Genomic DNA, 21,027 nt, shown 5'->3' with positions numbered 1-21,027 from the left:
TGATCATCATCATCGTCACTATGTTGATGTCAATGATCACAGTGTTGTTCAAGATGTGAAAGAACTAAAGCTTTGTCTTTTCCAACAATTCCTGGGACCTAAAATGGTTGGGAAATGAGGTATTCTGGTTCATCGACTGTTCATATAAACCATATGCATATACTTATATCCCCACAGAGGTGAACAGTCAGGTGTGTCATTCACAGATGGCTGCTTATCAAGAACATACAATAAGAAACACTTAGGAAAGAAGACTTTCCTTTGTTCAACTAAGCCTACTTCGGGGATGGCAAATATGCCATCACCTTCTGCCATAGCAGACATTAATAATCAATTACCGCACCCTCCAGTCATTTTTGCAGTAGATGAAACTTGCTTTCCCTCCCTGGGTTCCTGCATCTGCAGGTCCTGAGCTGGAGTAGGGTTCTGCCAAGGCTGGGGTTGGAGTCTTGGAGGCAGTGAGCCCCCTGTCCTGCAGATCTCACTGACTGTGCTCTTTGCTGTGATAAGAATAAAGGATGGACTCTCAGCAGAGCATGCCCCGAGGACATGGCTGCCACATTCTCCCCAGTTCTTCACCACCATGTTGAGTGTTTGCTTCCAGACACCCTGCTACATGTTCCACGTCCATGATCTCATTTAATCCTCTCAAGAACCCTACCAGATAGGGACTATGCCTTCCATTTTTCAAGTGAGGAAACTGAGGCATGGAGAGGTAAAGTGACTGGCCAAAGGTTACACAGTTGATAGAGGAGAGCTAGAATTTAAGCCCCAAACCGGCAGTTCCGAAGGTCTCTCCTCTTGACCGCTGGGTGATACTGCCTGCTTTTAACTGGCTGTCCCATAGGGACTGTAAGATTTGTCTTTACCAACTAATCAGTGCCCGAAATGTACTTTCTCTATCATTTTCACAACCCGAGCCTGGATTGTGGGAAGCCCGATGTGAGGCTGACCGAGCCTCTTACCCACTTCACCAGGTCACCTTGAAACTTCTGCTGCTTGAGAAATCCCTGTTAGCAAATCCAGCCCTGGAGGCCACCTGCCCCCCATTCTGGGAACAGTTTCTCTTCCCACCTTCAAGGGCAACTTGTCTTATGGCCAGTGGACATGTGTGATGATGGCATAGCCTCCACATGTGGAGACATGTTGCATCTGTGTCCAGGAGTGGCCTGGGGCCCCCTGCGGTCAGCCTAATGCCGGTAGAGGGCTTGCTGTAGCCAGACAGGTGAGTGCCTCAGACAGCCGGGAAAGGCTCTGAGCAGGGCTGGAGATAAAGCACTGTTTTCTTGATTGAATCTGAAGTGCCTTGAGGCAAAGTCCTGGCTGTGTGGAGTTGGAAGAAACTTCGAAGGGCGTTGAGGCAGTCCCCGTGAGTGACAGCTGCCACCCCTCTTTGCAGCTCACCCCAGGTCCATACACACCACCATTTTAGCCCATGCCACACTGCACTTAGGTTTTCCCACGTCTCCTCCTGGAATGTGAGCTCCTCAAAGACCGGATCTGGGACCTGTCAGCTCCCATCCCTGGAAGCTAGGGACTGGGCCTGGCACAGGGTGTGGAAGGCATTTGCTGGATGACAGGGTCACCTCCTCCAGGAAGCCATCTCTGGTCCCCCAGACAGGGGAGTTATCAGCTGTGAACATCCTCCCTCAGTGCTCCTGTCACACTAGGTTGTGAGGACCCATGTAACTTCCCTCAGGGCTGGGCCCAGAGCTGGTGTCGGTGGACAGTGAATGACCCTTATCCATGCTGGGAGGACCCAGGAAGGCCTCCAGAACCTCACAGACTCTGAGCGTTCTACAGATGAGGAAGCAGAGGCTTGCACAGAGAGAGAGCTAGTCTGAGGATAACTGGTGTGGACCGATGGCAGAATTCGCCTGGGGAAACTGGGTCCAGAGAGGTCTGTCTCTAGCCAGGCCTCCCAGCTGAGAGGGAGCAGGGCCTGGGTTTCGTCCCCCACCAGCCAAGGGGTCCCAGCATCAGGCCAGGCCCCCATCAGCCCATGGGAAAGCATTAGGGGAGGCTCCTGCACTATGGAGGGATCGAGGGAGCTGTACAGCCCCTCTGCTTCTACACGGACTCGCTCCCTTGCTGCTGCTGGCTGGTCTGAGACAGGACCTGGGAATGGGAGGGGCTGGAAGCTACCATTTGTGATACCGTTATTATTTTGATTTATTTTAGAGTTGGGGCCTCGCTGTGTTGGGAGCTATTATTGTTATTTCTGTTTGTTTTTGAGATGAAGTCTTGCTTTGTCACCAGGCTGGAGTTCAGTGGCTCAATCTCGGCTCACTGCAACCTCCGCCTCCTAGTTTCAAGGGATTCTCATACCTCAGCCTCCCAAGTACCTGGGACTACAGGTGCGCACCACCATGCCCAGCTAGTTTTTTGTATTTTTAGTAGAGATGGGGTTTCACCATGTTGGCCAGGTTGGTCTCGAACTCCTGACCTCAAGTGATCCTCCTGCCTCAGCCTCCCAAAGTGCTGGGATTATAGGCATGAGCCACCGCACCCGGCCATTTTTTATCCATCCCTCCCCACCCAGCCTCACTGTCTTTTTTTAGTTCCTCAAACTTGCCAGCTTGTTCCTACCTCTGGACCTTTGCACACCCCGTTTCCTCTTGCCTCTCCGTTTAACTAAGCGTGTTCATCCCCGGCTCATCCGGCCCCTGGGGCATGGGCCTTTCAGAAGCCACCAGGCCAGTCCCACACTGGCCTCCTGGTCCGAATTAACCAGGCCTGTTTGTGCTTATTCTGCTGAGGGGGCAGGCTGGGGGTGAGGAAGGGGCATTTCACCCCCTTTAAATGCTTCAACTCATTTAACCTTAATTGCCTTGTTTTCATAGACATTTGCGAGGGAAAAGGACCAAATTATAGCTTGAATTGGGTCCTACTAATCTTAATTAAAAGCTCTCGTTTATAATCAGGACCAGGCCCCAAACGAGGAGCAAACCGCCCTCAAATGGCTTGTTTAAATAACTAAGACCCTCCTGATAATCACTGTTTAGTCTGAACCAACAGTACACATCACCCCTTCTATGTGTACTTAATTTTTTAAACCATTTATTCAAGTGGTTTATTCCACTTGCAAGTTCCAACTCGGGCCTTTTCCAAAATGCTATAATTAAAACTCTTGGGGGAAATAACTTTGTTGTTTGGGCCACAGTATATCAAATATATTGCTATGTTCCTCTTTTTGTGTGAAAAGGAAAAACATGACAACCTTATGGCCATCAGATATCACAAAATTAGCATGTATGTAATGAATGTAAATAATCACTTCCTGAATTTTATATCCCCGGCGTCTACTTGTCAATCACTGAAGTTAGGTAGATTACAGAGCATGTTATTAAAATGTTTTAACAAAATTCCTAGTAACATACTCAGTGATCCATTTAGTTTAACATCAGAAAAACAAAATCTTAAAACCAATTTGGCCTTCTTAGGAAATAATGTCCATGACCTTATTAAATCATTTTCATCATCATTATTACACACTTTATTGAAACTCCAGATAAAATCCTGCTTTTTGGGAGGCCAGGAAAGGCAGTAGGCGGTGGGAGGCTCAGCGGGGAGAGAAGGGGAAATTCTTCTCCTTCAAGTCTTAAAACATGCAATTATGCATGCTAACGTGTGCTCTGCCGAAGATGAAAGTGCTCAAGTCCAAGCAGACCAGCAGGAAGGAAGAAATTGGATATAACTTAAAATTCCAAGTTGCTGTCAGCTAGCAATTAGGCAATGTTGCTTGCCAGCTCTGCTGCAGAGTTTAGGCCTCTTACAGAGTTCTTGGAGCCAATGACCACTTTTAGGAGGAAAAATAAAAAGCTCATGCTACTGCATTTAAACACTGGAGGCAAGTTCACCCCTGAGCCTCAGTTTGCCCATCCGTAAAATGTGTGTGCACTGGACTGGATTCAGTTGAGTATCAAGAATGTTCACTGAGCACCTACTCTGTGTCAAGCTTGGTGCTGGGGCCAAAACATGTTTCCTGCCTTTGACCTGCCTTGTGGGAGACACAGATTGGAAAAGATGTGATCATAACAGGATGTGGAAAGTGCAGCAATGAAAATACAAACAAGACAGGATGAAGTAGAGAAAGTGTATATCTCTGCCTGAGGAGGGGAAGAAATTCAGGAGGGCTTCTTAGAGGAGGTGTCCTCTGGGCTAGGTTAGAAAAGCATAGCAGAAGCAGGTCTCTGATGCTCCTTCCAGCTGTGATGGTCAATGGAAGCATTTGTAGCAAGGATTTAGAGGTCTGCATTTTGGTCCCTCCTAACTCCGTGAGCCAGCGGTGACTTAACCATTCTGAGCCCTGGTTTCCTCATCCATCACATGGGAGCCACAACACCTGCCTTACAGAATGTGCATTTGAGTAGAGATTTGAGGAGGGAAGGGGCCTCGCTGTCTGTGAGAATGTGTTGAAGGCTGCACCAGTATCTGCATGTTGGTTTTTTTTTTTTCTCTAATTCCCCATTTCTCCCAGGGTTAGGGGTCTCTGCCCCCACCTCCCACCCTCCATGTCCTCCAGCTCCCCAGGCAGCAGCCCCTCTCTGCCCCCTTCCTCTGGGCCCTCTCGCCTCCTCTTAGCCGCTTCTTATTACAGTGGCTGTATTTGTTTTTCCATCAGAGGAATGCTAACCAGCAAAAACCATTATTTCTAAGAAAATAAACCGTGGACTTGTGTGCCTTTGAATGCTACTGAAATGGATGATGGCCTTCCCTAAAGGCTTTGAGACAAAGAGGACTCGGGGCCTTGTGTGAACGGGCAAGGTCAGGAGGTCTCAGAGGGTGCTCCAAGACAGGCTTCCAGATGGGCCAGGGCTGCAGCCTCTGGCTAGAAAGAGTGTAAAACCCCAGCCAGCTGGTTGGACGCCTGGCCTAGGTTAACAGCAGCTGCTGGCGTTGATCACTCCCCACTCCCTCCAGGGTCTTCAAGGTGCACCCCTCTCTCCAGGAACCCCCATGTCTTCTGTCTAGACCTCCTGCCTCTCGTACAGAGGGAAGTGGAGCTGGGAGTGTGTCCATGGAGACCGGGTCCCAGCCCTATGTGGCCTGGGCCAAGTCTGTGGGCCTCTCCGGCCTTTGCATCCTGACATCAGAGTTCAGCAGGGGCAGGAGATCTCAGGCCCCTGGGACCCTCGCTGTGGGCAGCTCCTTCCTCAGGGTGCTCCTCGTTTCCATGGCGCCCAATGCTGGCCTCAGTCTGTCAGCTTGAGGGGTGGGCTTCAGTGGGGCTTAGCCAACTGTCCCTTCCCACTGCCAGCCCTGCGGGCAGACCTGGTCCTGGCCAGTCTGTAGGCAGGAGCACGAGAGTTTGTGGGCATCTGTATCTGAGTCATTCCCCGCTCCAGGCTGGCAGCCCCTTGTGGCCAGGGTCCAGGCTAAGGGCAAGGGGCCTGGCCCAGGACAGCACTGGCATGGGAGGGAAGAAGGCAGGGAGGTGGCCTGATCCTTCACAAGGCCCGCAGGCCCCAGATTCCTGGTTCACAGAGATGCCGTCTTCTCTAGACAATTGTGTCAAGGTGAGGAAGGTAGAGTCTGGGACCAGCCTGCCCAGGTTCAAATGTTGCCTTCACCACCTTCTAGCTGGGTGATCTTGGGAAAGACAAGTTTTCTGAGCCTCAGTTTCTTTTTCTATGAGCCATGGGAAATGAAGACCTTTCTGCCTGGCTGTAGGGAGGATTAAGCCAGTTACCATCAAGGTGGTGCCTGGTGTGGAGTTGCCACTGCTGTTATTTTTATTACAATGGAGAGGAAGTCCACCCGGGGATTCGGAGAGAAAGGGAATGAAACCGAATTGCACTAGGCCAGCTCAGGCCCTGCCCACTGCTGGATCCCGAGATGAGAGAAAGAAGCCCAAGCTGAGAGCCTTGAGTTCAAATTGCCATGAGCCCCTGATCTGCTAAGATTTGTCTTTCAGCTCCCTTCTTTGGGCCTCAGTTACACCTTGATAAAATCCAGGGTGCTCTAGGATCCAGCTTACCAATTCTAAGGGCCGGCCCAGGTTTTCAGGCAACTTCTTGTTTGTGATTGTCCTCCTGAGCTTGGAGGTGGCTGGGCCTATGGAGCAGCCCCACAGAGCCTGCAGTTTTTGGGTCTCGGGCCTCCCCTTGGCCTTTCCCTAAGGGGATGGGGGAATGACTGCCTGTAATTGGCAGGAGGGTGGAATAGGGGCCTTGACTGAGGGCTGGCAGAACTAGACTCAAGCCTGGCAGGTTCCCTGTGGTCTCTCCTGGCTTCCATCTCACACGCGCCAACGGCTCCATTTTCACTTGACCAGGCTGCCTCAGCAACCATTAGTCCTGATGCCAGAGCCCAGGAGCAGCCCCCAGCAAGGGCTTCAGGGCATTTTTGAGGGAGAAAGGAAATAATTAACTGGTCTTCATCATATCGGTTTGGTGGGAAATCTCCCCTGCTTCTTGGGAGCAACACACCCCACTGTGACCCCAAGCTGGGCAGGTGGCATTTGAGGTCAGTTCAGAGCCAACCTCCTTGTGGTTTCCCTTCACCCAGGCAGAGATCCCTGGAGATGCAACCAGCCCAGAGGAGAAGAAGACCGACAGCATTAGCTTGTTTGACTTTTATTTTTAAACAGCTTTATCGCGATATAATTCACATACCATACAATTCACTCGTTAAAAGTATACAATTCAATGCCTTTAGTATATTCACATTGCCAGTCCACTACCACAATCAATGTTAGTATCTGTTTAATTTATTTTATTTTATTTTATTTGAGACAGAGTCTTGCTCTGTCGCCCAGGCTGGAGTGCAGTGGCATGATCTCGGCTCACTGCAACCTCCGCCTCCCGGGTTCAAGTGATTCTTCTGCCTCAGCCTCCCGAGTAGCTGGGATTACAGGCATGCACCACCATGCCTGGCTAATTTTTTGTATTTTTAGTAGAGACAGGGTTTCACATGTTGGCCAGGCTGGTCTCGAACTCCTGACCTCAGGTGATCCACCCGCCTCAGCCTCCCAAAGTGCTGGGATTACAGGCGTGAGCTACCCTGCCGAGTCCAATGTTAGAATCTTTTCATTACTCCAAAAAGAAACTCCATGCCCCTTGACCATCCTCTACCACCCCGCAAGTCTTCAGCCCTTCCAGTGTTAGGAAACCTCTCATCTGCTTTTTTTCTCAGCAGATTTGGTTTTTCTGGAGACTTGATGTAAATAGAACCATCGACTATGTGATCTTGTGACAGAGACATCACTAACTCTGAAGTCAAGCTGCCTGGCTCCCTTCCTGGCTCCCCTTGCATTTGCTGTGTGATCTGAGGCAGGACAGGCAATGTCTCTGAGCCTTGGTTTGCTGCTGTGAGATAGACATGGTGGTACCCAGCTCTCAGGGCAGTCCTGTGTGTGGGGCCTGCAGACTGCCTGACATGTCATGAGAGTCGGTCAGCAAGGCCACCGTCGTGATTGTTCATTCATGCAATGCCCAGAGGATGCCTTTGAACATGCTCGGGCTCTGCTCGTTTCTGAGGCTCAAGCTGCACAGGACACAGTTCTCGTTCTCATGGATTTGCAGCATCAGAGGACACAGACACAAGCAAGCAAGAATAATGCTAGTACCTGCTTGGGCTGGGGGAGGGGCTAGATCTGCTCGAAGATGAGCAAAAGCTTCAGGGAGGAGGTGATGCTGGGGCTCAGGATGCAGAGGTGAGTAGATGTTTGTGGAGGGGAAGGAGCTCCAGGCAGAGGGAACAGCATGAGTCAAAGTGTGGAGGTCTGAAGCCACATAACGGACTGGGAGAGGTCACTGAGCAGCTCCAACCCCACGGTTATCTTGAATCACAGAGTGGGAAAGGGGAGGGAACCTTCCCACCCTCTGGCTGAGCCATGGTCATTGTGTGCAGTTAGGAATGAAAAAGTATATAGATGTGTGTTAGTTTTACGTGCCCTTTGACCTTTCCTGTAATTAACTGCTGGGCCCACTTCTGGCATTGTCTCTGCAGAAGGGAAACCTGATCGATGGATGCCAGGGGCCCTCAGAGAGCGCGTCTCATTACTCAGTCATTACAAACCCAGAGCTTAACCCCGAGCCACCGGAGACAGGGGCTTAATCCTTCCTGCTAGGCAGCCCAAGAAACTACCTTCCCTGGAGCATAATTAGCCAACAAACCGGATTAAGATTTATTCATCAATAAGGACTCAACTTCCTAAGCCATACATCTCTCCCCGAATGGTTGCCTGATCTAAGGAGGGCACGGTTTTTCTTAAAGCCCCCAGACAAAGGAGAGGACGTGCTAGCGCCCAGCCAGGAAAGGGGTCTTTGTTAGAGCGTTTGGTCTCCACTGTTCTTGAGGAATGTCTAGAAAAATGCCAGTTTCAGGGGGAAATGAGAAGACATTTTCAGTAATGATCTCCGAGAGTAGAGAGTGGGATGCTTTAAAAATACTTAATTTTGAGAATGTTTCTAGTCAGTCCCGATTTTGAGGAAAATACCCTAAAATAGTATTAAAATAAAATGAAAAGGCTCTCTGATTCATTGCAATAGGATCTTTTAGAATCTAGACACCACAGAGTAAATGTATATTTTATGAAGCAGCAAGAATCAATTTTGAATTAAATGATTAAAAAAAAAAAAAACACCTCACCCTATATGGGTTCCAAACCTGCGTTGCTGGCACGGAAGCACAGCCATGGGGTTGTGTGTGCGCACGCTGCCTTTCAATACACAAAAAGCGGAGCTGGGTGACCTTTCAAAAATTCCATAATGAGCAGTTCTCTGTGCTGCTTTTCTCTGCTCTATTAGATGCTGGGAGCTGTCTTCTGTTGGGAATTGAGTTTTCATTAAAAACAAAAAAAAATCCAAGCAGGGGAAGGAACAGGGATGCTTGGAGTGAATTGCTGGACTTCTCATCTCCTGTGTCAGGGCTCTGAAAGCTGCTCAGATCTTTTGTCCTGCCACTTTCTCCATTCATGTGAACCATCCCTGTCACCACCCCTCCTCAACCTCAAGGGTAGGTACAGATCTTGGAAAGAAAAGTAATAATACCCATGAAATCTCTTCCCCACTTTTCTCCTTAATGACTTTTTGGAGCATGAAACACTTTTTTTTTTTTTTTTTTTTTTTTAAAGACGGAGTTTTGCTCTTGTTGCCCAGGCTGGAGTGCAACGGCGCGATCTCGGCTCATCGCAACCTCCGCCTCCGGAGTCCAAGCGATTTTCCTGCTTCAGCCTCCCGAGTAGCTGGGATTATAGGCATGCGCCACCACGCCTGGCTAGGAGCATGAAGTACTTTTTTAAAATATTCATCTCACACACCCCAAGGATGTGGCTCCAAATGCGGGAATAGAGCCTGCACTTGAATGCAACCACTGGCTGGGGGCCTGAAGACAAGGTCCTCAGCGATCCTGAGCCTCAGCCTCTTCTGTGTGACAGCAGCTCTTACCCTGGCCTCACACACACAGCTGCCTCACTCCAATCTCTGCCTTCATCATCCCACGGCTGCCTTCTCTCCGCGTGTCTGTGTGTCTTCACATGGTATTCTTCTCCCTGTATGTCTGTGTCCAATTTCCCTCTTCTTAGGACAGCAGCATTGTATTAAGGCCCACCCTAATCTAGTATGACCTCATCTGAACTTGATTACATCTGCAAAGACCCTACTTCCAAGTCAGATCACATTCTCTGGTCCTGGGGGTTGGGACCTCAACATATCTTTTTGCGGGGACACAATTTAATCCACAACAGCCCTTTAAGAATAAACATCCATAGAGCTGTGCTCTGTCCCCTCCATTGCTTTACCATCTCCCTGCTCCACCTGCCTGTTTCTCGTTCTCTGGCTGTCAGTCCTGAAAAAGTGGTCTGAGCCTGATGAGTGTCTTGGAGGTCTGTGGTGCCTCTTCCAGGGGCGGCGACTCCTGGATATGTTTTTATAATAATAAATCCACTTGCTTTGGCAAATTTTTTTAGCTGGTTTGTTTGTGTGTTTATCTCTTAAGTATTAAAGGAGGAGGCTTACATGATTTTAGAACAAAATTTCAAGGTACAAACATGGAAAATCAGGGAAGGTTTGGTTTAGGAGCCAATGTCCTCCATCCAGGACACTGGGAGGTAAAGCTGGCTGCCACAGCAGGCCTGGGGATTGGAGAGGAACTGGTTGTTCTGAGAGATGCTCAGCCTGGGAGAACTAATTGGGGATGGATTAAGGAAAGAAATGCAAGCAGCAAATATCCCTGCACTCTCCAGCCCACTGGCAATTACTGTGGCCTACGTTATGGGGAGTCAAAGGCAGGAAATGGCTAGAGTTGTTTTATTGACTATTCAACGATATCTTTATAATGCCTTATGGGTATGGTGATCAGATAGTTTATCATTTTAATAATGAAAAGGTTAATAACTGCTGTTAATAATTACGCCCTGACAACAGGCATAAACTGATACTGTGCCAGGAAAATTAAAGTGTATGATATTCTCTAACTAGGGGAAGACATCCCCTAACTAGGAGGTCTGACGTTTCTCAGACCTTACCACCATTAAAATAGCCAGTTGGATTACATCTTATAGATGCAGCAACTCCATAACTGATTGTGTTTCTTTCTTTGTCTTGGCATTTAGGAAGCTCACAGCCCACCTTCTGTCATTGTGCTACAGTTATCAAATGTGTTTTTGTATATTTTCACCAGCTTTATCTTATTCTTCAACCCTCATTTATTTTTCTTCATACTAACATCTTATTCTATTAGAAAAAATTGTTGTATGTATTTTGTAAGCTGTTTGGAGGGATATTTGAAGGAATCAGTGAGTTAATAGAAGTTTGGATGGATGAATGGGTAGGTAGGTGTTTGAATGTGCGTGTGTGTGCATGAGCGTGAGTGTACATGTGTTTGGATAGAAAGGTGGGTATTTGAATCAATGAATATACAGATGAGAGGATTTCTCATCTGGATGGATGGATGGATGGATGGATGGATGGATGGATGGATGGATGTTTGGATGGGTCAGTGCTTAGATGAATGGAAGGATAGGCATCTGGTTGAATATTTAGACAGATGGATGCATGCATGCGTGTCTGGATGTATGGGTGAACATTTGGCTGGATAAATGGATGGGTGAATAGGTGATTGGAGAAATGGAAGGGTGGTCAGCACACTGGATATTTAGATGGATAAATTTTAGCACAAATAGATAAATGGAAGAATGGTTGAGTAGATATTTGAATGGATAGGTTGAGGGTGAGTAGATGGATGGATAGTGGAAGGGTAGATGGGTGTTTGGATGAAAGGATGCATGGCTGGCTGGCTGGTTATTTGGGTAGATAGGCATGCACACATGTGTATGTGTGTATGTGTATAGACAGATGCAGAACAAGTAGAAGGATAGATGGGTAAATGGGTATTTGGATGATTGGATAGTACTTTCTCAGTACACTGTATAAATGTGCCAAGGGTGAAATACTGTATCATGTATAAAGCATTTTGTCAATGACTGGCATGTCACAGGCATTCTAACTTATTAGAAAGGACGTGGGCTTCCTAGACTGAAAGACCTTTGTTCTGATCCTTGCCCTACCACTTACTATGTGACCCTGAGCAATTATCTAACTTCTCTGCACTTTAGTTTGTTCAACCATAAAATGAAGTTAAAACACCTACTTCCAAATGTTGCTGTGAGAATTAAAAGGGCTGGTGTATATTTCAGGAGTAGATACCTCCTTCTGAGGTACAAGATGAGAGAAACTTCTTTTACCCAAGCATAGAATAAAAGTCCTTTTCCTCAGTCTGATTGATCCAACCTAAGTCACCTACCAACCCTGGGACCAACAGCAATTGCTAGTGGCACGTGCTGTTTGGATAAGACTGTTAAGTCTCCACCCCCAGAGTTAGGACCAGGCCAGCTTCCCCCTGAATCACCTGCTTGAAGGAGGAAAGGAGGGAGGGAACAGTTTGGGGGCTGCTGAGTCAAATCGGGTGTGAGGTGATACTCATGCTGACAGGTAGTGAAAATAAGTGGCCAGTGGGCAGACTGTAACGATATTAAGGGTGTAGAAAAACCACGCGTTGGTAGCTGATTTGATGTTAAGGAAGCAGTGGAAGGAAAACAATATTCACCGGGATGAGGAACCCCAGGTAACTGTAGGTTGATGAGTTAAAGTTGAGCTTTGTTGCCTTTGGAGTACCTTTGGAATACCCAGGGGAAGAGGTGGTTGCATTAGTCTATCTGGGGCTCTGGAGAAAGGTCAGGGCTGCAAACAGAGACTGGGAAGTAATCAGTATCTCTCAGTTTTTTAAAATCTATGCCGGACGAGGTGGCTTACATCTGTAATCCCAGCACTTTGGGAGGCCAAGGTGGGCGGATCACGAGGTCAGGAGATGGAGACCATCCTGGCTAACATGGTGAAACCCCATCTCTATTAAAAATACAAAAAATTAGCCGGGCATGGTGGCACGTGCCTGTAGTCCAGCTACTTGGGAGGCTGAGGCAGGCGAATCGCTTGAACCCAGGAGGTGGAGGTTGCAGTGAGCTGAGATCGCGCCATTGCACTCCAGCCTGGGCGACAGAGGGAGACACTGACAAAAAAATAAATAAATAAATAAAATAAAATCTATGTGCCTTTTCAATAAACATAAAATATCACATTCTCCCTTAAGTTTATTTGTAATTTATAAGTGTATTAAATATCAGAATTAAAAACAGCCCAGAGCCAGGCACAGTGGCCTATGCCTATAATTCCAGCTACTAGGGAGGCTGAGGCAGGAGGATCCCTTGAGCCCAGGAGTTTGAGTCCAGCCTTGGCAACATAGTGAGGCCCTGTCTCTAAAAACAAACAAAACAAACCAATTCAAATGAGCTGCAGAATTGAGAACTGATGCAGGTGCCCCTATAGGCAGATTAGGAGAGGACTTCTATCTCTTGATCCTTTGGTGACCCAGCCCAGGCTACTTTGTTCTTCCCTCGCTGTGGCTGGGTGGACACCAAGAGTGGCTGCACGGACACCAAGAGTGGCTGCACAGCCCAGACCCCTTACTCTGGCGCGTTCACTTCTGCTGTTTGTTATCCCCTTTGCTCTGCAGCATCTCTGGCAGGCATCAGGGCAGTGCTTACACCTCCAGAGTCAGGGAGCTCACTACCTCCTGCAACAGCTTCTACCTTGCAGACCGGCACTCCTACCCCTGAACGTTCATTGGCCCCATGGCTTCCCCTCACTGTGAGTAGCTCTGCTCTCCAGACCAGCATGGAGAAAGCAAGGAGTTCCGTGTCTCCCTGCGGCAGCTCCTCCAGCAATTGAGGGAAGCTAGGCCTGCCTTCTACAGGCTCTCTTCTTCTACAGGATGGCCCCAGCCCCACTTTCGTAGCTGGAACCCAGCCTCAAAAATCCCTCTTCTACACTATAGGGGAGTGACCCCGGCTTCCTACTCCGTCGTCTCGTGAGATGCACTTCCGGTTCCACTTAGTGCTGCACTTCCGGTTCCGGTTCCAGTTCCCCTGTGGGGGACACTTCCGGCCCTCCTCTCTCCCCATCGTGTCTCGGAGCCTCTGGAGGTCAGGGTGACTGCCGGTTGAGATGAGTGAGGCCAGAGGGGTCTCAGGGGGATGCTGAAGACCCTGCAGAAGAGCCGGCACCACCAGGCTGGCAAATTCTCGCTGTGCCTGGTGCCCTCCCAAGGACGCCAGGTGTGACCGGGGTTAGGCCCCTTGGGCTCTGAAACCCACGAGTTTGAATCCCACGGATTCGAATCCCATTTGTGCCACTTCCTAGGTGTGTGACCTTCCACAAGGTTTTAGCCTCACTGTGCCTTGGTTTCTTCAGTGCTCTTGCAAAATTGGAAGTGAGAATGGTGCCTGCATCACTGAGTTAATGTGGGATTGAAGAGGTAATGACATGGCCTTACAAGCAGGACTTGGGCGTGGAAGCAGCTCAGACAAGGTTAACTAGGCGTGTTCCTATCATTCTCCAGGGTATCTCAAATCTCTCTGGAACTCCAGAATTGATAGCCCTTTGACCCCTGATGGGAAATGTTGAAAAAGCCTTAAAACAGCAAAAAGGGTGACCTTTATCAAGGCTACTGGCCATTGTTTATGAGACAGGAGCCTTTGTTATAGCAAGGAAGCTGGAGCAGTTGAAATGCAGGCATCAGACACTGATGTGGAAAGACACTGGAGGAGTTAGTGGACTTTTCTTTCATTCCAGAGATTACACTTCTTGGGGATGTGCAGTTAATTTTACTCAATACCCCCTGCTTCAAGAGAGCTAGTTTTCAGAAATTGTACACTGGCTCCGTGGAGGCAGAACTAGGTGTGAATCTTGCCTGTTCACTGTGGTAGGAACTGGAAGGCACCCCACACATGATTAGCATTTTTATAATACTTGAGTCCTCAGCTCCCAGGGAGGACTGAAGTGAATACTTGTTGAATCATCCCCTAATCACTCAGATCCCGGTGGCTTCCATGGTGTTGGGAGAGGGGACCACCAGGCTCTTCTTCTGACACCTCTCATGCCCTTCCTTTTGCAGACATTGACGAGTGTGAGAATGACTACTACAATGGGGGCTGTGTCCACGAGTGCATCAACATCCCGGGGAACTACAGGTGTACCTGCTTTGATGGCTTCATGCTGGCACACGATGGACACAACTGCCTGGGTGAGTGATACAGCTGTAGCCTACCCTCTGGGCACACCCTGCCTGTTGCTTTGCTCCAGCTTACAGAGTTGGGAGCCATGAGAAGGTTCTCCTTCCTTTGGCTTCCTGTATTAGTTTGCCAGGGTTGTCATAACAAAATACCACAGACTGGGTGGCTTAGACAACAGAAGTGTATTGCCTCGCAGTTCTGGAGTCTGGCAGTCCAAGATCGAGGTGGGGGCAGGGTTGGTTTTTCGGAGGGCCCGCTCCTCTGTCAGGCTTGCAGGTGGCTACCTTCTTTCTCCTTGTGTCTTCATACGGTCTTCCCACTTTGCATGCAAGTGTCTAGTGTCTCTCTGTGTCCTAATCTCCTCTTCTTTTTTTTTTTTTTTTTTTTTTGAGATGGAGTCTTGCTCTGTCACCCAAGCATGCAGTGGTGTAATCTCAGCTCACTGCAACCTCCACCTCCTGGGTTCAAGTGATTCTCCTGCCTCAGCCTCCCAAGTAGCTGGGATTACAGGCGTGCCACCACACCTGGCTAATTTTTGTATTTTTAGTAGAGACTGAGTTTCGCCATGGTTGCCAGGCTGGTCTCGAGCTACTGACCTTGTGATCCGCCTGCTTCGGCTTCCCAAAGTGCTGGGATAACAGGCGTGAGCCACCTTGCCCGGCCAGCCACTGCGCCTGGCCCTAATCTTCTCTTCTTATAAGGACACAGTCATATTGGAGTAGGGCCCACTCTACAAACTCCATTTTTAAGTTAATTATCTCTCTAAAGGCCCTGTCTCCAAATACAGTCACGTTTTGAGGTACTGGGTGTTGAATTCCTTCAACAAAGGAATTTTGAAGTGACACAATTTGGCCCATGATTTTATATACCTCCATCTTCTCATGGTCCAAATACATTTTTAAGCCAATTGTATAAAATTTATAAGAGGTCGGGTGTGGTGGCTCACACTTGTAATCCCAGCACTCTGGGAGGCCAAGGCGGGTGGATCACCTGAGGTCCGAAGTTCAAGACCAGCCTGACCAACATGGCAAAACCCTGTCTCTACTAAAAATACAAAAATTAGTTGGGCGCATGCCTGTAATCCCAGCTATTTGGGAGGCTGAGGTAGGAGGGTCACTTGAACCCAGGAGACGGAGGTTGCAGTGAGCCAAGATCACACCATTGCACTCCAGCCCGGGCGACAAGAGTGAAACTCCATCTCAAAAACAAAAAAATAATTACAAGAGTAGTCCACATTTGCTGAATCAAATTGGAAAAAAGGAGAAGAGTAGGGAGAAGAAATTGGCAGGCGTCTTAGTTGTGCTGGTGTGTTTTCTATCAGTCTTCCACCTGCATCCAAGTGTGTTTTTACCATAGTGGTGATCAGATAGTCAGCATGCATTTGCCCTTTGCTGTTCCCTTTAATATCATGCGTACCTCAGGCATTTTGGTTTTCTTTTGAGACAGAGTCTTACTCTGTCACCCAGCCTGGAGTACAGTATGGCTCAGTGCAGCCTTAACCTCTGGAACTCAGGTGATCCTCCCACCTCAGCCTCCAGAATAGCTGGGACCATAGGCACATTCCACTGCTACTGGCTAACTTTTGGGTTTTTTTGTAGAGACAGGGTCTTGCTATATTGCCCAGGCCTCTGGAACTCCTGGGCTCAGGTGATCTGCCCACCTCGACCTCCCAAAGTGCTGGGATTACAGGCTTGACCCGCCACCTTACCTCAGGCATTACTTCAGGTATTTTTATGTGGCCCCTGTTACCACTATTTTTCTAGTTGCCCCACAGTCTGACAAATTACTAATAACCTGTATCAGTTTCCTGGGGCTGCCATGACAAAGTAACAAACTAGGGCTTAAATAACAGAAATGGATTCTCTTGGTTAGGAGTCCAAACTCAAGGTGTGGGCAGGGTAGTTCCTTCTGAGAGCTGCAAGGGATCATCTGTTCCAGGCCTTTCTCATAGCTTCTGGTAATGTCAGGGATTCCTTGGCTTATAGATGGCATCCTCCCTCTGTCTTCACATTGTCTCAGCTCTATGTGTGTCTGGCTCTGTGTCCAAATTTTCCTTTTTTATGAGGACACCAGTCGTGTTGCATTAGGCCCACCCTAACAATCTCATCTTAACCTGGACATCTGCCAAGACCTTATTTCCAACAAAAGTCACATTCACAAGTACTGGGAGCTGCGAATCCAACATCTTTTGAAGGGACATAATTCAACCTGTAACAGAGGGAGTTCAAAGTCTGTCACAGAAGAACAATATCTTGTCATGGGAAACACGTGGCTCTCAAAGCAGACGTGTCTGTCCCCAAGGCCCTCTTTTGCCACTGGCTGCTGGGTAACCAGGGCACAGCAACTGGAGCCCAGGGGATATGGGCATGGATTTGGCAGGAGCATGTCCGTAGATACATTATTGATTGTCTGGGTCTCAGGCCCTTGTTGGTAGAGGGAGGCTATGAGAAGCAGCTTCCTCACAGGGTTGTCGTGAGCAGTGACTGAGATAATGTCCAGATGGCCGAGAAAAAGGCTCGGCACAGGGGACTCTCAGCAGCCGAGAACTGTTACTATCTACATGGTGTCTGAGCCTCAGTCTTCTCCAGTCTCCAACAGGGATAACTGCGTAATCCACTTCCCAAGATCGCGTGTGAGGATGAGGTGACAGTGTGAAGTGACTAGCCCCTATTAGGTGCTAAATAGTCAACGCAGGCATTACTACTCCAGCTGACTCGGCTGCCTTTCTGTGGTTAGACATTTAGATTGTTTGCTTTTTTGTTTTTTACCATGAGAATCCAGAGGTGGTTCTGGGCATAAAACATTTTTTTCCCCTGTTTTCCCAATCGTTTCCTTAGGAATGCTTCACAAAAGTGGAACCACTGGATCAAACGACCATTTGGTTTTTTATGGCTTTCTAAAAGGGCTCAGCAAAGCTTCTGTTGTGCCAGCTGGTTTGTGGGTGTGTGGTAGAGGATACTGGGTGTCCTGAGTGCTCTGGAACTTTCCCTCTTAATGGGGTGTTAGCCTTAGACCTGCCTGCCTGTTTTTGTCCAACCCATGTTGGATGTCAGATAAGTTTGTTGTGGAAAACATCTGTGAGCATGTAATTACACCCCGAATAAATACCCAAGTAGAGGTCCGAGCATCAGGTTATTGAAGCCCAGAGAGGCCTGTGAAGAGCTACCCATGGATGCAGTGAGTGTGGGGGTAGAAGCGGGGCTAACTCCCTAGGGGTCTTCAAAGAGAAGGTAGCATTGAGTGGAACCTCCAAGGTTGGGGATAAGTTTGCTAGACCAAGGGCAGAGCCTACATAGACCTGCAGGCAGCCCCTGAGGCTCAGCTCCTGGTGCGTGCAGGGAGCAGCAGGTGTGGGGCTGTGGAGGTGAGCAGGGCATTGACTAGATTGTGAAGAACTGGGACCACACAACGTTGATCGTGCCAGATGCCAGGTGAAGTATCTTCCAAGAGTTATCTCATTTAATCCTCCCAAAACATAAGTGCTTGGCTTTCTTAGTTGTTTGCTCCATTTTCAAATGATAGAGAGAGTATGTTTTGGTCTCTGATTAGTCAGTGAAGACAGAGCCGACAGTCCCTTTGGGACAGCCAGTTAAAAGCAGGCAATATCACCCAGCGGCCAAGAGGAGAGACCTTGGGAACTGCCAGTTTGTGGCTTAAATTCTAGCCCTTCTCTATCAGCTGTGTGACCTTTGGCCAGTCACTTTACCTCTCCATGCCTTAGTTTCCTCACTTGAAAAATGGAAGGCATAGTCCCTATCTGGTAGGGCTCTTGTGAGGATTAAATGAGATCATGGACGTGGAGCATGTAGCAGAGTGTCTGGCACCAAATATTCAACATGTAACCAGCATTCATCTGGTCACTGGCTTCCAGATGAGATGTGTTGATGTGGAGTGGTTTGATGCCTCCAAGACCTCGTGGGGACCAGTCCCCACCATGTGCGCTCCCACGGCTGTGCCTGACACGTGGAACTCTCCTTCCAGCCACTGTACTCTTACCTGTGCAGAACCACCTGTTTGTAAATACCCTGTTCTTGGCTACAGCAAGTACTCCCAGTGTCCCCAGAGCCTGACGCCAGCAGCCTGCAGACTAGCAGTGAGTCTGTGTGGGCCTTTGTCTCAACAACATTGTTTTCACAATGGATTATGTTTACACTGATTAATTTAAAAGAACTGGGTAAGGTTCCCCCCCTCCCCCGCCCCACCACCTCTGAGCACAGATTGCAACCTCACGCGGCTCTAACTTGCACACACAGCAGCCAAGAAAAGGCTCTCTCTGTTGCTCCTCTGCCTTTAGCTGAGGGCAGACCCTTCCCAACAGAGTTCTTTCTGTTCAGGCTTTCTCTTTCTCAAGACAAAACTCCAGCTCTAGAGAAGCCGGACCTTGGTTCCAACAGGCACCAACCCATCCTGACCATGTGACCTCAAGCTAGTTAACCGACTTCTTGGAGTCTCAGCTCCCTCATCCATGAAATGCTGTAAGAACTGGAGTACCTCGTACTCTAGGATCATGGGGCTTAATCAGTGTTGGCAGAAATAAATCATGCTGTAAGAGTCAGCTGGGCTTGGAGTTTGAAGATTTAGGCTCAAATTCAGGTGTCACCGCTCATGAGTTTTATAGTTCGGGACCTGTTCCTCTAGCCCACCAAGCTTCAGTTCCCCTAACTGTGAAATGGGTCAGTAATACTTGTCTCGGAGGGTCGGTGTCATGATTAAATCTGAAAGGAGATTGTGCAGAGCTTGTGTACAGATGTAAATTCTGTGCAGGTGCTGGATATTGTCATCACTTTCCAGCAAAGGCTTCAAGCTGGCAACCCACAGTCCCCATCTGGCCCACAGACATGTTTGGTTTGTCCCCATGGTGGTATCATTTGTTCTTATTAAATTATTTGTCAACACTTAAAAATTAGGGGTTATCACATTAAAAAAAATCAATATTTCTAGCATCATTCCATCTCAGCCACAGTTACCCAGCCCCTGACGTTTGCGGGACTTGGGACAGGAGTCCAGATGGAGGCCCCTATCCCACATGGCTAAAATATTAAAGTAATTAAGAAGCTCCCAAACAAGAATGACTCTGCCTCTTCTACCTTGACAAATATTCCTAACTAATGACCTAGAGGCTAGACTGGAATTTAGAAGACTGCTTGGATTTTGCGCCAGAAAGTGGTAGCATGGGCAATGCCTGCTCCCTCCCTGCCCTTCCCACCCTCGGCTCCACCCCACACCATGACGAGCCTCAGCACACCCTAATGCAAATGTGCAAGCTTTGGCCATTTACCCTGAAAGCAGCCACCTTTTGCCTAAGTCTTACTCAGGCCTAAGTGTAGTCTGATAGGCTTAGGACCCTTTTGGGGGAGTTTTAGGGTCCTAAATACCCAGCATGTAATGTGGAGTGGTAGGCGTGTGTTCCAGGTGCTCATGACTCCCCTGTGGACCCCTTACTCCATGGTGGTGGGGTCAGGGGGGTGCTGCTGCAGCCACAGGAGAGGCAGAACAGGGACCCCCAAAGTGTGGGGGCCCAGGGCAACAGCACTCTCGCTCACATCTCACTGTGGTGCTGGCAGCAGCTAGAGTGAACTACACCGCAGCTGCCTGCTTCAGAGGGGGTGTGTACTCTCTTGTTCGCCACAGTCTCCACCACTCCCTATTACTTGCATCCAGCTTTGGCCATTTAACTACCTGCTTGAAATTGTGCTGCCTGGAAATGTTTGGAATTCTTTGTGCTGCCTGACAAAGCTTCCTGCACAAGGTTTTGTCCCCAGTGGGCATTTGGTGGCTGTGAGTGGCCCACTGAGTTGTTGGAAGGTTCTCTGTCTCCGCTGCCTTGTGCATTCTTGGCTGCCTCTGGGCAGTCACTAAACCTCACCCCACAGCCCATCGCCCATCAGGAATAGTTAGGCCCGTTCGCACCTCCTCTGTTTTGTCTCAAGAAGTCTGGGTCAAGAGTCTTGTCCAGTTGTAACATTCCTCTCTGAACCACCACTGAATTCCTTAGGGATGGGGGCTGGGATAAAACCCTGATCACCTTAGAAATAAACAGGCCAGTTTGAAAAGTGTTCTGAGCTGATTAGGAGAAATGAGGCTGATGGCTTACAAGTTATTTTCTTGCCTAAGTTTTCATAGTTGAACCTTTTCTTTTCTTTCGAGTAAGCGAGGTTATTTTCCTGTGGAGATGGCCTGCCTGTGACTGTGTCCTGGAGGGTGGCCAAGTCTGTCCTCTGGGGAGCAAAGCCCTCACTCTATTTGACATCTTTATTGAGGAATTTCTCAAATATAACAGAAAATGACACCAGAGGGAATTGAAACCATGATGAGATCTTGCTCAACCCCAAATGGCTGCTTTTAGCTGTGTAATTACTTGAAATAGCAGTAGTTCTGTTTGAAAAATATTATTCCAAACTCCATGCAATTGGACAGCAGAGCAATATTTAGGCTAATAGAATAAGATTGTTTTC

General features: G+C 48.5%; 1 protein-coding gene across 1 annotated transcript in view, besides 3 other annotated features; it reads left to right on the top strand.

Moving 5' to 3' along the window:
- The window catches only part of SCUBE1 (signal peptide, CUB domain and EGF like domain containing 1), a 146,093-nt gene that overhangs the window by 8,853 nt on the left and 116,213 nt on the right, over positions 1-21,027 (top strand). Inside the window, exon 3 of the mRNA NM_173050.5 lies at positions 14,455-14,583. Within this exon, the coding sequence (NP_766638.2) occupies positions 14,455-14,583 (129 nt within the window). The remainder of the gene's footprint in view (positions 1-14,454; positions 14,584-21,027) is intronic.
- Positions 4,711-5,484: an enhancer, noted in NCBI's record as "H3K27ac-H3K4me1 hESC enhancer chr22:43725042-43725815 (GRCh37/hg19 assembly coordinates)". NCBI's record gives its function as "activates a minimal SCP1, AML or CMV promoter by ChIP-STARR-seq in naive H9 embryonic stem cells {active_cell/tissue: H9 hESC(naive)}" and the evidence as "EXISTENCE:reporter gene assay evidence [ECO:0000049][PMID:30033119]".
- Positions 5,485-6,259: an enhancer, noted in NCBI's record as "H3K27ac-H3K4me1 hESC enhancer chr22:43724267-43725041 (GRCh37/hg19 assembly coordinates)". NCBI's record gives its function as "activates a minimal SCP1, AML or CMV promoter by ChIP-STARR-seq in primed H9 embryonic stem cells {active_cell/tissue: H9 hESC(primed)}" and the evidence as "EXISTENCE:reporter gene assay evidence [ECO:0000049][PMID:30033119]".
- Positions 20,070-20,571: an enhancer, noted in NCBI's record as "H3K4me1 hESC enhancer chr22:43709955-43710456 (GRCh37/hg19 assembly coordinates)". NCBI's record gives its function as "activates a minimal SCP1, AML or CMV promoter by ChIP-STARR-seq in naive H9 embryonic stem cells {active_cell/tissue: H9 hESC(naive)}" and the evidence as "EXISTENCE:reporter gene assay evidence [ECO:0000049][PMID:30033119]".

This window comes from Homo sapiens, chromosome 22, assembly GCF_000001405.40.
Source record: "Homo sapiens chromosome 22, GRCh38.p14 Primary Assembly".
NCBI lineage: Eukaryota > Metazoa > Chordata > Mammalia > Primates > Hominidae > Homo > Homo sapiens.
The sequence above is the reverse complement of the archived record's forward strand: the minus strand, read 5'-3'. Positions and strand labels throughout refer to the sequence as shown.